Consider the following 15962-nt stretch of genomic DNA (forward strand, 5'->3'; position numbering starts at 1 on the left):
GGAGTTTGAGATAAACCTGGGCTAACACAGTGAGATCCCATTCAAAAAATCTTACAAAAATTAGCTGGGCATGGTGGTGCACACCTGTAGTCCCAACTACTTGGGAGGCTGAGGTGAGAGGGTCAGTTGAGCCCAGTGGTTGAGGCTGCAGTGAGCTATGATCATGCCACTGCATCACAGCCTGAGTAAAAAAGCGAGAGCCTGTCTCAAAAAAAAAAAAAAAAAAAAAAAAATTTCTACAGATCTTAATTTTCAGCTTCTCCAGAGATTGGTGGGTGGGGATGAAAGTTCCAATTATCTAACCCATCAGTTTTTTAAGTGAGCAGCAGTCCCATCCTGAGGCCTAGGGGTCCAGCACTAAGTCACTTCAATAGCATAAACTTAGGTGGGATCCAAAGGGGCTTCTAATGAATAACAAGAGACAGCTCCTATCACTTAGGAAATTCCAAGGGTTTCAGAAGCTCTGTGGCAGGAACCTGAAACAAAGACCAAATATATATATATATTTTTTGAGACAGAGTCTTGCTCTGTCGCCCAGACTGGAGTGCAGTGGTGCGATCTCGACTCACTGCAAGCTCCGCCTCCCGGGTTCACGCCATTCTCCTGCCTCAGCCTCCTGAGTAGCTGGGACTATAGGTACCGGACACCATGCCTGGCTAATTTTTTTTTTTTTTTTGTATTTTTAGTAGAGACAGGGTTTCACCCTGTTAGCCAGGATGGTCTCGATCTCCTGCCCTCATGATCCGCCCCCCTCAGCCTCCCAAAGTCCTGGGATTACAGGAGTGAGCCACTGCACCTGGCCAAATATATTTCATATTATACCACAATATCATCACATCAAAAAACAATTTTAATATCCTCAAACGATGGACAAAGACATGCTATCTGAGGCATTTACAAATGTTTTAAACAATTTAGTGAATGTTTGTACTATCACAGTATAGGTACCTTGTATTTACCATTTTAAGCATATAATACAACATGTTTTGAACAAGGATTGTCTTGTTTGGCTATGTCGGCTTTTTGTTGTTATTTACTTATTTATTTTTTTGAGTTGCCCAGGCTGGAGGGCAATGGTGCAATCTAGGCTCACTGCAACCTCTGCCTCCTGGTTCAAGCAATTCTCCTGCCTCAGCCTCCCCAGTAGCTGGGATTATAGGCACGTGCCACCACCACCTGACTGACTTTTTTATTTTTAGTAGAGACAGGGTTTCACCATGTTGGCCAGGCTTATCTCAAACTCCTGAAGTCAAGTGATCCGCCTGCCTCAACCTCCCAAAGTGAAGCTTTTTATTTTTAATTTTTTTATTTTCAATTTTTGTGGGTATATAGTAGATGTATATATTTGTGGGTATGTAAGTTTTATAGCCCCTAGTACTTTGCTTTGTAAAATAGGTTCTCAGTAATATTTTGAGAATATTAAATTGAATTTAGACCTGTAATACTGTCTTGTTAAAAAATGAAATCTTGCTGCTTTGGAGAATGTTTTAAAATGGCACAATCTGGGCTGGGCACGGTGGCTCACGCCTGTAATCCCAGCACTTTGGGAGCCTGAGGTGGGTGGGTCACCTGAAATCAGGAGTTTGAGATCAGCCTGGCCAACGGGATGAAACCCTGTCTCTACTAAAGATACAAAAATTAACCGGGTGTGGGTGGTGGGCACCTGTAGTGCCAGTTACTCAGGAGTCTGAGGCAGGAGAATCGCTTGAACCTGGGAGGCGGAGGTTGCAGTGAGCCTAGATCGTGCCATTGCACTCCAGCCTGGGCGACGAGAGCAAAACTCTGTCTAAAAAAAAAAAAAAATGGGCACAATCTGTTGGAAAGAGCTTGGGATTTTTAATTGGGGGACCTAGGTTTAAGGCCCAGCCCCACAGTCTACTAGATGAGTAACATTGGATGGATTTTCCAATTTCTGATCCTTCATAATCCTGTTGTGTGTGTATCATCTACCTTGGAAGTTTCTTGAAGAGATTAAGATGTTGGGTGTAGTAGCTTATAAACAGCAAAGTACTTTATAAATATTATTTTAAATTCTTGTAATTTTTCTTAGTAAAGCATGTATGCATTTTACCTAAGAGGAACTTGGGGGGTTATTAAATTTTTAAATTTTTGAAAAATTGTCTCAAGACTATGATCTCCTTTGATTTTTGTGGACAAATTATTGAACTTTCTTGATTTACATCTTTGGACTGCAATTTCTACCTCTGATCTAAACACATGAATCTAAATTGATTATCTCTTTGAAAGATCTACTTAGCTTTAGCATGTAAATAGAAAATACCATTGGGATAATTTATAGAAGTAGTATTCATCATTATATGGGAAGTTATTCATAAGAGTTTTTTTTTTTTTTTAGTGTTCTTCCATACTTGGCAATTAGATTACATTTAGACTGTGGAATTAAAAGTGATTCCCTGTGAGCTGTCCTAGCAAATTATGAAATTGAAGAGAGGGGTTGTGGGAACCCTAGTTTCCTACCATGAGACAGTTTGACTTACTTTTCTTTAAAAGTTGAAAATTCTCATATGGGCATTATTTATCTCATGCTTGGTATTGGAGTCTTTCCCCAGGTATTGATAGTACACTTGAGGAAACTAAGACTTTGACCCTTTTAATAGCAAGTTTGTCTGTATATGGGGGTATGAGCTGTCTTGGTTGCTAAGTGCACTAGTGGAAAGGATGAATTACGGTAAAACCCCAATAAAATATGTGCTGTGAAGGGTCTGGAAATGATAATGGTACAAATTTTTTTTAATGTTTTTTATGTTCTTGAAAGCTATAAGTATGTGTAGGACATATGAAATACAAATTTTTTTTTCTTTTTCTTGAGACAGAGTCTCTCTCTGTCGCCCAGGCTAGAGTGCAATGGGACGATCTCGGCTCACTGCAACCTCCTCCTCCCAGGTTCAAGGAATTCTTCCTCAGCCCCCTGAGTAGCTGGGATTACAGGTGTGCACCACCATGCCCGGCTAATTTTTTGTATTTTTAGTAGAGACGGGGTTTCACCATGCTGGCCAGGCCGGTCTCGAACTCCTGACCTCGTGATCTGCCTGCCGCAGCCTCCCAAAGTGTTGGGATTACAGGCGTGAGCCACCACGCCCAGCTGAAATACAGACTTTTTTTTTTTTTTAGAAGTGTTACACTAGGCTGGGGACAGTGGCTCATGTCTGTAATCCTAGTACACTTTGTGAGGCTGAGGCAGGTGGATTGCTTGAGGCCAGGAGTTCGAGACCAGCCTGGCCAACATGGTGAAACCCCATCTCTACTAAAAATACAAAAATTAGGTGGGCATGGTGACTGGCGTCTATAATCCCAGCTGCTCGGGAGGCTTAGGCAGGAGAATTGCTTGAACCTAGGAGGTGAAGGTTGCAGTGAGCTGAGATTGTGCCACTGCACTGACGCCTGGTGACAGAGTGAGACTCCGTCTCAAAAAAAAAAAACAAAAAGAAAAACTAAGGGAAAAAGAGGGAGGACTGGCATGGTGTGGTGGCTCACATTTGTAAATCTTGAGGCAGGAGGATTGCTTGAGCCCAGGAGTTCAAGACCAGCCTGGGCAACATGGTGAGACCCCGTCTCTATTAAAAAAATAATAGTAAAAAAGGGGGAAATGGCAGCTGAGTAGGCAGCCTCAGTATCTTTTCCTGATTAGTAATATAATTGACTGTAAGACCTGAGGGAGAAGATGAGCCTAGAGTACAAATGCTGCTGCTGCCACCCCCCGAGGTCTGGAGGGATTGGCTGAAAAAACAGGGTGAACTAGGAGCTAAGCAGGCCCATTCTTTTTTTTTTTTTTTTTCGTGGAGATGGAGTCTCACTCTGTGGCCCAGGCTGGAGTGTGGTGGTACTATCTTGGCTTACTGCAACCTCCGCCTTCCGGGTTCAAGCGATTCTCCTGCCTCAGTGTCCCGAGTAGCTGGGACTACAGGTGCACACCGCCACGCCTGGCTAATTTTTTGTATTTTAGTAGAGACAGGGTTTCACCTGTCGAGACCAGGCTGGTCTCGAACTCCTGAGCTCATGCAAGCCACCCGCCTCGGCCTCTCAAAGCGCAAGGATTACAGGTGTGAACCATCACGCCCGGCTTCAGGCCCATTCTTTTTTATTTATTTATTTTTTTTGAGACGGAGTCTTGCTCTGTTGCCCAGGCTGGAGTGCAGTGGTGCCATCTCCGCTCAGTGCAAGCTCTGCCTCCCGGGTTCACACCATTCTCCTGCCTCAGCCTCCAGAGTAAGCTGGGACTACAGGCGGCTGCCACCACGCCTGGCTAATTTTTTTGTATTTTTAGTAGAGACGGGATTTCCCCGTGTTCGCCAAGATGGTCTCAATCTCCTGACCTCGTGATCCGCCTGCCTGGGCCTCCCAAAGTGCTGGGATTACAGGCGTGAGCCACCGTGCCCGACAGGCCCATTCTTAAATCTGGACACTGCTTTTTTTTAAATTTTTTCCAGTTTCTAGCATCAGAGTGCAGAATTGTTGACTCTTGACCCGCCTCAGCCCAGAAGACACAAAAAAGTCAACATGATCTAGCACTGTAATATTTGCCTTACCTCTTCCTGGAGGGTTTTGTCTTCCATATTTGACATGAAAGACTATGTAATTCCTTGTTGATGTTTGCTGGGTAAGCTTATTCCTCATCCTCCATGTCCCAGCAACTAAAGACCCTAAAGAATACAACATTCCACTTGATAAGTGTCCTTTGCTGCTGCTCAACTTGGATTGTATTGTATTTCATTATTAAGTGAAGGAAAAAAATGTTAAAGATTATCTCAGGTTATTGAGGATGGTGGCAATTGAGAACCAAACTATTCATACATAATCCTTTTTCTTCCTAGTGCCCCCACAATTGTAGAGTGAGATTATCAGAGGGAAAAAAGTTAATATTTTAAATATTTTTTTGTCTTTCTAGAGTAAACAACTCTAGAAAATTAATGTAGTAGTTTTTTTTTTAAATATAGTGAAAGCAAGTTTATTAGGAAAGTAGAGGAATAAAAGAATGGCTACTTTATAGACAGAGCAGCCTATAATATAAATTTTTTTTTTTTTTTTGGAGACCGAGTCTCACTCAGTCGCCCAGGCTAGAAGGCAGTGGCACGATCTTGGCTCACTGCAAGCTCTGCCTCCTGGGTTCACGCCATTCTCTTGCCTCAGCCTCCTGTGTAGCTGGGACTACAGGCGCCGGCCACTACGCCTGGCTAATTTTTTTGTATTTTTAGTAGAGACGGGGTTTCACCTTGTTAGCCGGGATGGTCTCGATCTCCTGACCTCGTGATCCGCCTGTCTCGGCCTCCCAAAGTGCTGGGATTACAGGCGTGAGCCACCACACCCGGGTAGTATAAATTTTATTATGATTTTGATAGCTAGTCTCTGACCAAAATTCTAGTGTAGGAAATTCAGAAAAAAAGTGCTGTTTTTTTTTTTTTTTTGAGATGATGTTTTGCTTTTGCTGCCCAGGCTGGAGTGCAATGGCGCAATCTTGGCTCACCACAACCTCCACCTCTCGGGTTCAAGCGATTCTCCTGCCTCAGCCTCCCGAGTAGCTGGGATTAAAGGCATGCGCTACCACGCCTGGCTAATTTTTTATTTTTAGTAGGGATGAGGTTTCTCCATGTTGGTCAGGCTGGTCTCGAACTCCTGACCTCCAGTGATCCGCCCACCTTGGCCTCCCAAAGTGCTGGGATTACAAGCATGAGCCACTGCGCCTGGCCAAGAAGTGCTAAATTTATGTTTTAAAACATTAGAAAGTTAATTACCTAAAATCTCACCTTTGAATACTTTTTAAAAAATATATCACCATCTACATTATGCTAATTTTGCTTAGCATATCTGTTAATATTTCCCCAGATTTCTGTTTTCTATCACTATTTTTATTATCTGCAGTTAATATTATATTGCTATGCAGTAATTTCGTTCAATTCTTTTACCACATTGGCCATTTAGGTTGATAAATTTTTTTTCTAATTTTAAAAATTGTTATAAAATACACATAAAATGTACCATCTTAATATTTAAGTGCATAGTGTTGTGCAGCCATCACCACCATCCATCTCTATAACACTGTTCATCTTGTAAGACTGAAACTCTATACATATTAAACAATTCTTCATTTCCCCTCCCTCTAGCCTCTGATAACCACCATTCTACTTTTTGTCTCTGACTTTGACTACTCTAGATTACCTCATGTAAGTGGCATTATACAATATTCGTCTTTTTGTTTTTCTGTGAGTGGTCTGTCTCACTTAGCATAGTGTCCTCAAGGTTTATCCAAATTGTAGCATATTGCAGAATCTCCTTCCTTTTTGGGTGAACAATATTTCATTATGTGGATATACCACATTTTGCTAATGCAGTTATCTACAGATGGATACTTTGGTTGCTTCTACATTTTAGCTGTTGTGAATGACGTTCTTATGAACATGGGTATACAAGTATCTTTTTTAGACTGTGCTTTCAGTTTCTTTGGATATATACCAGAAGTGGAATTGCTGGATCACGTGATAATTCTATGTTTAACTTTTTGAGGAACCACCATACTGTTTTCCAGTGGCTGTGGTTGATAATTTTTTGCTGTTACTGCTAACACTCTAAGTTATATCTTTGTGACTATGTTAATTTTTAGCCTTTCTAATACTAACATATTTTGAATTGTAACCGTTGGGATTTTTTTGTTAATCTTTTTTTAATCTTTTCAGAAGCAAGAGAAAAAGAGGAAGAAATGAACAGAGAGAAAGAATTAAGAAGACAAAATGAAGATATTGAGCCAACATCCTCAAGATCAAATGTGGTCAGAGATTGCTCCAAATCATCTTCCAGGTGCCTGATTTTCAGAAAGACTTCTATTAAACTATCAGTTTCTAGGTGTTTATAGAGTTTTTTTTTTTTTTTTTAATTTTTTTGAGATGGAGTCTTGCTCTATCGCCCTCTGCAGTGCAGTGGCGTGATCTTGGCTGACTGTAACCTCCATCTCCTGGGTTCAGACGATTCTCCTGCCTCAGCCTCCCAAGTAGCTGGCATTACAGGCATGCGCTACCACCCCTGGCTAATTTTTGTATTTTTAGTAGAGATGGGGTTTCACCATATCGGCCAGGGTGGTCTCGAACTCCTGACCTCAGTTGATCCACCCGCCTCAGCCTCCCAAAGTGCTGGGATTATAGACGTGAGCATCCTGAGTAGCTGGGACTACAGACGTGCACTACCACGGCCGGCTAATTCTTGTATTTTTAGTAGAGACAGGTTTTACCATGTTGGCCAGGCTGGTCTCAAACTCCTGACATGATCTGTCCGCCTCATTCTCCCAAAGTCCTGGGATAACAGGTGTCAGCTACTGGGCCTGGCCTCCAGTTATTACTTTTTTTGAGATGGAATCTCGCTCTTTCGCCCAGGCTGGAGTGCAGTGGCTTGATCTGGGCTCACTGCAACCTCTGCTTCCTGGGTTCAAGTGATTTTCCTGCCTTAGCCTCCCAAGTAGCTGGGATTACAGGTGTGGGCCACCATGCCCTGCTAATTTTTTTTGTATTTTAGTAGAGATGGGGTTTCACCATGTTGGTCAGGCTGGTCTCCAACTCCTGACCTCGTGATCTGCTCGCCTCAGCCTCCCAAAGTGCTGGGATTATAGGTGTGAGCCACCGTGCCTGGCATCCCAGTTACTTCTTTTTGGCAATGCAACAATGGCCTAACACATTGATGTTGTTTATCTTGTCAGAAAATCAACGTTTGTTTCAGTGATGTTTTGTTATTCTTTTTTTTGTTGTTTGGGTTGGAGTCTCACTCTGTTGCCCAGGCTGCAGTGCAGTGGCACCATCTCAGCTCACTGCAACCTCCGCCTCCCGGGTTCAAGCAGTTCTCTGCCTCAGCCTTCTGAATAGCTGAGGTTACAGGTGCCCACCACCATGCCCAGCTAATTTTTGTATTTTTAGTAGAGACTGGGTTTCACCATGTTGGCCAGGCTGGTCTTGAACTCCTGACCTTGTGATCCACCCGCCTTGGCCTCCCAAAGTGCTGGGATTACAGGTGTGAGTCACCGCGCCCAGCGTTATTATTCTTTTTTTAGTGTCAATGTCATTTGTAGTTCTGCTCTGATTTTTTTTATTTCCTCTAATAATTTTTGGTTTGCTTTATTCTTTGCCTAGTTCCTTGAGGTACATCATTAGGTTATTTGATGTATTTCTACTTTTTATGTAGGTGTTTATTGTTGTAAATGTCCTTCTTAGTACTGTTTTCTTTGTTTTCCGTAGGTTCTGATATGTTTTGTTTCCATTTTCTTTTGTTTCAAGAAATTAAAAAAAAATTTTTTTTATTGACCCTTTGGTCATTTGGAAGCGTGTTGTTTTATTTTCATGTATTTGTACAATTTCCAAGGTTCCTCTTGTTATTGATTTTTTAATTTTTTTTGAGACAGGGTTTCACTCGGTCACCCAGGCTGGAGTGCAGTGGCACATTCTTAACTCACTGCAACCTTCGCCTCCCAGACTCAAGTGATCCTCCCACCTCAGCCCCTTAAGTAGGTGGTACTACAGGTGTGTGCCACCATGCCTGGCTAATTTTTGTATTTTTTTGTAGAGACAGGTGTTCACAGTGTTGCCCAGGCTAGTCTTGAACTCCTGAGCTCAAGCAATCCGCTCACCTCTACCTCGAAAAGTGCTGGGATTACAGGCGTGAACCACTGCGCCTGGCCTGATTTTGGTTTTATTTTGTTGTGGTTAAAAAAGATACTTGAGGGCTGCGGGAGGTGGCTCATGCCTGTAATCCCAGCACTTTGGGAGGCCGAACTGGGTGGATCACGAGGTCAGGAGTTCGAGACCAGCCTGGCCAACATGATGAAACCCTGTCTGTACTAAAAATACAAAAATTAGCTGGGCGTGGTGGCTCATGCCTGTAATTCCAGCTACTTGGGAGGCTGAGGCAAGAGAATCACTTGAACCCAGGACGGGGAGTGAGCGAAGATCATGCCCTGGGACTCTAGAGTGAGACTCTGTCTCAAAAAAAAAAAAAAAAAAAATCTGTTTTAAACCAGTGCAGCTGGAAACTTGTGCGTTAATCATAAGGGGGAAAATTTTGGAGTATGAATAGCTTAATATAAATTTGTTTAGTCATTCAACTATTACTTACTGAGCATCTACTGTGGATTACACAGTGTTTTAGGCACTGAGATATAGCAATTAGCAAGTCAGTTGAGACCTTTGTTCTCACTGAGCTCACGTTGTTGTGGGAGTATTTGAAGGGATAGATAACAGACAACTAAATAACCAAATAAAATAACTTAGCAGGCATGTAATGAAGATAAACAAAGGTACTTAAGGTAATGGGAAGTGGTGGTGTGCCTGAAAGTTTAGAAGGAGTGTGCCCTTAGACTTCTTTGAGGAGGAGACATTTGAGGAAACTCCAAAGATGAGAAAGAGGCCGTGTAACAATCTATGGGAAGGGTAAGTCAGCCGACAGAACTACAAGTGCAAAGACCTTGTTGTGAACCAAACTTAACCTGTTCAATTAGAAAGAAGGCCTTGGAGTGGAGATTTGAGCTATGCAGTGGCTCAAATGTAGAAACTCAGATTTTTATGGAGGTTTGCTAGTTCATATACCTCTGTTTAAGGGTAACCTGAATGTGAGAATATATTCTTTTCAATTTTTAACCTAGATGAAAACAAAAAGAAAAATCTCATGTTTTTCCGTCAGTAGATATTGAGTGCCTGTTATAGGTGAAGCATTTTTTAGATGCTAGAAATATGTTAGATGCTAGAACAAAACAGAAATTCGTGCTTTCCTGGAGCTTACATACCAGAGATACTTCATTAGAAGGCAGTGACACTTTTAATCTTATCAAATATTTGAAAGATTAATTGATACAATTAAGAATGCTGAATGCTCAACTCTGGCGGCAGGTGGAGGGGTGGTAGATGGTGAGGGCTATGCTTACAGGTGTTTGCTAGAGACCTTAGTGAGAGTGTATAATAGTCCTCAGGTGTGGTGGATAGGAAACCACTTGGGAATCAGTATGCTATGCCCTAGACTCTCAAGCCCGTCCAACCTGCGTTATATTGTTGTTGTTTTCTTTTAGACTTTTAGCATCCTGAAGCCGTGGTTTTTAGTTTCTGTCTCTAGTGATAAGTAGAAAAGAGGGATGAGGAAATGGCTTCACTGGACAACCAGAAACAAAATAAGAACCCATGACTGTATTCTCTCCCTTGGACACCCCTGGTTAGAGTATGGTGTTTTTAGAATGCAAGAATGCTACATTTAATGTTTTGGCAATGTAGGAAACTTGGATTAGCCGTTAGAAATAACTTGTATTTCAGAAATTATATTGAAACATTTTGGGAGTAATATTAACTTCCTTACATGACTGGCATTATTTGCTACTGTGGCAATCAGGGATTGGATTCAAATATAGTTAATTGAGGCACTGGATATCTCAGTGGTTTTTGTCCGTTACTATTTTGTAGTTTTTCTTCTGTATTTCCTTGTTCACCTCTTTTTAAAATTTTTAAATTAAATTTTTATTATATATCTGTATTTTGAGACAGGGTCTCACTGTTGTTCAGGCTGGAGTAGAGTGACGCAGTCATGGCTCACTGTAGCCTTGACCTCCTGGACTCAAGTGATCCTACCACCTCAGCCTCCTGAGTAGCTGGTACCACAAGCACATGCCACCACACCTGGCTAATTTTTATTTTTTGTAGAAACAGGGTCTCGTGATGTTTCCCAGGCTAGTCTCAAACTCTTGGGCACAAGCAGTCCACCTGCCTTGGTCCCTGAAAGTGCTGGCGTTACAGGTGTGAGCCATTGCACTCAGTCTCACCTGTCTCTTTATGAGTGCTAATGGTCTAATGGCTGTCTAACATATAATTGCTGTGACCCTTTATTTTTGACTGCGTAAGACGGTTTTTTTTAACTTTCTTAAGATAAAATATTTGGCATTAAACATTTAATGTTTGAACTACAAATTTAAAAAAATTAAAAAATACCCAGTTGTTAATAGGAGAGGAAAAGTATCCTGAGAAATGAATACTATTTCCAAAGTGTGCTCTTCATTGCAGCAGAGGCAAAGAGTTTCTGTTTCTGTATTTTCAGGGATACGAGCAGCAGTGAAAGTGAACAGAGTTCTGACTCTTCTGATGATGAGTTAATTGGCCCTCCTTTACCCCCTAAAATGGTAGGAAAACCAGTTAATTTTATGGAGGAAGATATCCTCGGTCCTTTACCTCCACCTCTTAATGAAGAAGAAGAAGAAGCAGAGGAAGAAGAAGAGGAAGAGGAGGAAGAGGAAGTAAGTATTTCAGTGGTAATTTAAGAATTCGGTGGAGTAATATCTTTACTGTAGAGATCAGTTCTGCTAAACTGTTTTTCATGAGTAAGAGCCAATTTAAAAACTGAGGAAAGGCCGGGCATGGTGGCTTAACACCTGTAATCCCAGTTACTTGGAAGGCTGAGGCAGGAGAATCGCTTGAACCTGGGAGGCAGAGGTTGCAATGAGCCAAGATTGTGCCACTGCACTCCAGCCTGTAGACAGCCAGACTCCATCTCCAAAAAACAAACAAAAAACCAAACCGAGGAAAAAGGCCGGTACAGTGGCTCACACCCGTAATCCCGGCACTTTGGGAGGCCGAGGTGGACGGATCGCTTGAGCTCAGGAATTGAAAACCAGCTTGGGCAACATGGCGAAACTCTGTTTCTACAAAAATGCAAAAATTAGACGGGTGTTATGGTGCGCACCTGTGGTCCCAGCTACTCAGGAGGCTGAGGTGGGAGGATAATTTGGGCCCAGGAGATAGAGGTTGCAGTGAGGTCGACAGATGGCACTCCAGCCTGGGCGACAGAGTGAGACCCTGTCTCAAACCGCCCCCCCCAACCCCCCCGCAAAAAACCTGAGGAAAATGACTGTGGAGTTTATTACTGACAGCCTGTATTGAAAGAACTTCAGGAGGAAGAAAACAACTAAAAAATAATAAATGGAGGGCAGAAAGCAATGTGTTAAAAAGAAATCAATGGATAAAACATTTTGTTAAATCTACGTATGCGGCTGGGTGTGGTGGCTCACACCTGTAATCCCAGCACTCTGAGAGGCCGAGGCAGGAGAATCGCTTGAACCTGGGAGGCAGAGGTTGCAGTGAGCTGAGATTGTGCCATTGCACGCCAGCCTGGGCAATAAGAGCAAAACTCTGTTTCAAAAAAAAAAAAAAAAATCTATGTATGCATTGTCTGCAAATAATAATGATGATGGGTAAATTTGGGAGGATTTAAGAGCAAACTGGATCTAAAATTATTGTCAACAATGAAGTAGAAGATGGGAGAGTGAAATCAGAGTTCATTGCTTTGTAAATGTTATTTGGGAGGAGGCCAGGGATACCGGTTAACCTTAGATTAGTTTAAGCCAAGTATATAAGTTTACAATTTTAAGAGTAATTGCCCGGCAGGGCATAGTGGCTCACATCTGTAATCCCAGCACTTTGGGAGGCTGAGGTGGGCGGATCACGAGGTCAAGAGATTGAGACCATCCTGGCCAACATGGTGAAACCCCGTCTCTACTAAAAATACAAAAATTAGCCAGGCGTAATCGTGGCGCACGCCTGTAGTCGCAGCTACTCGGGAGGCTGAAGCAGGAGAATCACTTGAACCCGGGAGACAGAGGTTGCAGTGAGCCGAGATTGCACCACTGCTCTCCAGCCTGGGTGACAGATTCGGTCTCAGAAAAAAAAAAAAAAAAGATATAATCTCCAAAATACTGAAAGGAAAGAATGCTGAAGGAAATGGTCTACATTTGTATTTGACACTTGGGGTAGATAATTTTTTTTTTTTTTTTTTGAGACGGGAGTCTCACTCTGTCACCGAGGCTGGAATGTGGTGGCGCCATCTCCGCTCACTGCAAGCTTCGCCTCCCGGGTTCATGCCATTCTCCTGCCTCAGCCTCCTGAGTAGCTGAGACTACAGGCACCCGCCACCACGCCCAGCTGATTTTTCGTATTTTTAGTAGAGATGAGGTTTCACCGTGTTAGCCAGGATGGTCTCGATCTCCTGACCTCGTGATCTGCCCGCCTCGGCCTCCCAAAGTGCTGGGACAGGCGTGAGCCACTGCGCCCGGCCGCACTTGGGGTAGATAATTTTTTAACACCTCCCTTCTTTATGTGATGAATTATTTTTAGTAATAATTATGAAATGAAATGAAAAGTAATCAGAAAAGCAACAGCTTTTGTAAATCTGTCAATGACTGTCAAAATCGGTATTCTTTGCGTATTCCTTCTCAGTACATAGTACAGCAAATTTGTCAATTTGCGTCTGTCTGTAGTTGATCAAATAAAGCTTCTAATTTCAATTTTGTACATTTTTCTTTCATATGAAATAACAGATCTATAGTATATATACACACATATGCACATGCATTCATGTGTGTGCATATGTAAAATTAAGAAAACAAACAAGAATAAAATAAGAATAAATTTGGCAGTTTCATTAAAATTTTTGTTTTACAGTAAGTTCCAGAAATTGCAATGTTGATTGTATATTTTTTCTTTTATCAGTTCTAGTGGCTTTTAAATATCTCTGTAGGTTGAAATATTTTGACTGGGCACTGTGGCGCACGCCTGTAATCCCAGTACTTTGGGAGGCTGAGGAGTGCTGATCACTTGAGGTCAGGAGTTTGAGACTAGCCTGGCCAACATGGTGAAACCTTGACTCTACTAAGAAAATACAAAAATAGGCTGGGCGTAGTGGCTCACGCCTGTAATCCCAGCACTTTGGGAGGCCGAGATGGGCGGATCACGAGGTCAGGAGGTCGAGACCATCCTGGCTAACACGGTGAAAACCCATCTCTACTAAAAATACAAAAAATTAGCCGGGCATGGTGGTGGGCGCCTGTAGTCCCAGCTACTCGGGAGGCTGAGGCAGGAGAATGGCGTGAACCTGGGAGGCAGAGCTTGCAGTGAGCCGAGATGGCGCCACTGCACTCCAGTCTGGGTGACAGAGCGAGACTCTGTCTCACACACACACAAAAAAAATTAGCCAGGCATGGTGACAGGAGGCTGAGGCAGGGGAATTGCTTGAACCCGCAAGGCCGACTCTGCAGTGAGTCAAGATTGCACCACTGCACTCTAGCCTGGCAACAGAGCAAGACTCTGTCTCAAAAAAAAATTTTTTTTTCATGAAAGTGTTTTTACAGAAAATTCATTTTATATTTGGTAAAAACTTCTAAATTTTTTTCTCTAAAAATCAGAGAAAATGGCTAAATGATGTCAAACATTGCCATTAAATGATCCATTGCTTTAGAATGCTTTTGGTGAAAACAATTGAGGTATTCAAACATTTACCGTTTTAAATTCTTTTGCCAACCATGTCTTTTGTTTTTTCTTTTGGCATCCATAGAAAACAGAATTGGATTTGCTTAGCATTTTGTTTCTTTGTCTTTATAATCTTTGTTTATTTTGAATCTAGTATTTAAATGCAGAAACGTAGTACAACAGGGATTGGAGATAGGAAATTACCCTTGAAATGAGCTTGAATGATTCTGAACCATGAAAAACAGTGTGTAGAGACCCGAGTAGGTGAGTGTGTTTGTGCATGTGTGTGGTGCAGATAACTGGGAGTTCTCCAGATTAACTTCGTGTAGAATACAGTGGTTATTTATTTTTATTATTTATTTATTCATTTATTTTTGAGATGGAGTCTCACTCTGTTGCCCAGGCTGGAGTGCAGTGGCATGATCTCAGCTCACTGCAACCTCCGTCTCCCGGGTTCAAGTGATTCTCCTGCCTCAGCTTCCTGAGTAGCTGGGATTACAGGCATCTGCCACCACGCCTGGCTAATTTTTTGTATTTTTAGTAGTGATGGGGTTTCACCATGTTGCCCCAGCTGGTCTTGCATTCCTAACCTCAGGTGATCCACCTGCCTCGGCCTCCCAAAGTGCTGGGATTACAGGTGTGAGCCACTGCACCTGGCCAGAATACAGTGTTTATTAAAAGATAAGTAATACAAATATGTTAATTGAAGTTCACATATATGTTATTAAAACTCGATAGGAACCATAGCAAAAAGAACATTAAGTAGTGTCTAAACTAACATTGTTTATAATTGCCATCACCAGGTGATAATAAAAAGCAGGCTTATCTTTGCTTGATTTTATCATTGTTTTTAAGTTCTCTACAGAAAAGTGTACTCTCTTATTGTCTACATTACTTCCACTGATCTCATAGAATTAGTGTCTTTATAAAAAGAGTCACCAGAAAGCGTGCACTAACTCCTCCTCTCCCACGGGAAAGGAAGAATGGCTTTTTGAGGACATAGCAGAAAGTGGTCGTCTACAAGCCAGGAAGAGAGGTGTCACCAGAAACCACATTTGTCCATATTTTGATTGTGGACCTCTAGCCTCCAGACCTGTCAGCAAATACATCTCTATTGTTTTAAGTCACCCAGTCTGTGGTATTTTGTTTATGGTTGTGTGAGCTAATACAGGTTTGCAAGGCTGACTAATGGCTGATAAACAGAAGGGAAGAAAGAAGCATATTGCAAGCCAGAAAAAAATTGCTATAGCGAAGGCCCAAATGTATATAAGTACAGCTATGGTCATGAAATTGTACCTGATTAGTGCATGGCTGAGTTTTCTTACTAGGAGAAAGTAGAAAGATGAGGAGGATGAGATCAAATCCAGAAAGTATGAATAAATACTCTCTGGAGGATGTGTAATTTGGTAAGCTTTGTAGAGGATTACAGTTTTTGTGTTTTTTTGAGATGGGGTCTCTCTGTCACCCAGGCTGGAGTACAGTGGTGTAATCAAAGCTCACTACATCCTTGACCTCCTGGGCTTAAGTGATCCTCCCACCTCAGCCTCCCGAGTAGCTGGGATTACAGGCATGTGCCTCTACACCTAGCTATTTTTTTTTTTTTTTTTTTTTTTTTTAGTAGAGATGAGGTCTTACTACATTGCCCAGCTCGTCTCAAACTCCTGGGCTCAAGTGATCCTCCTGTCTTGGCCTCCCAAA

At 42.1% G+C, this 15962-nt stretch overlaps 1 protein-coding gene across 4 annotated transcripts in view; it reads left to right on the forward strand.

The window, feature by feature from the left end:
- Positions 1-15962, forward strand: part of WDR70 (WD repeat domain 70) — a 374118-nt gene that overhangs the window by 5993 nt on the left and 352163 nt on the right. For 2 of the 4 annotated variants that reach the window (NM_018034.4, NM_001345999.2), the window contains 2 exons: positions 6690-6810; positions 11065-11260. In NM_018034.4, coding sequence (NP_060504.1) covers positions 6690-6810; positions 11065-11260 — 317 coding nt within the window. The remainder of the gene's footprint in view (positions 1-6689; positions 6811-11064; positions 11261-15962) is intronic. The other 2 variants (NM_001345998.2, XM_047417348.1) reach the window with 1 other exon arrangement.

The sequence above is a fragment of the Homo sapiens genome, chromosome 5, assembly GCF_000001405.40.
Source record: "Homo sapiens chromosome 5, GRCh38.p14 Primary Assembly".
Classification (NCBI taxonomy): Eukaryota; Metazoa; Chordata; class Mammalia; order Primates; family Hominidae; genus Homo; species Homo sapiens.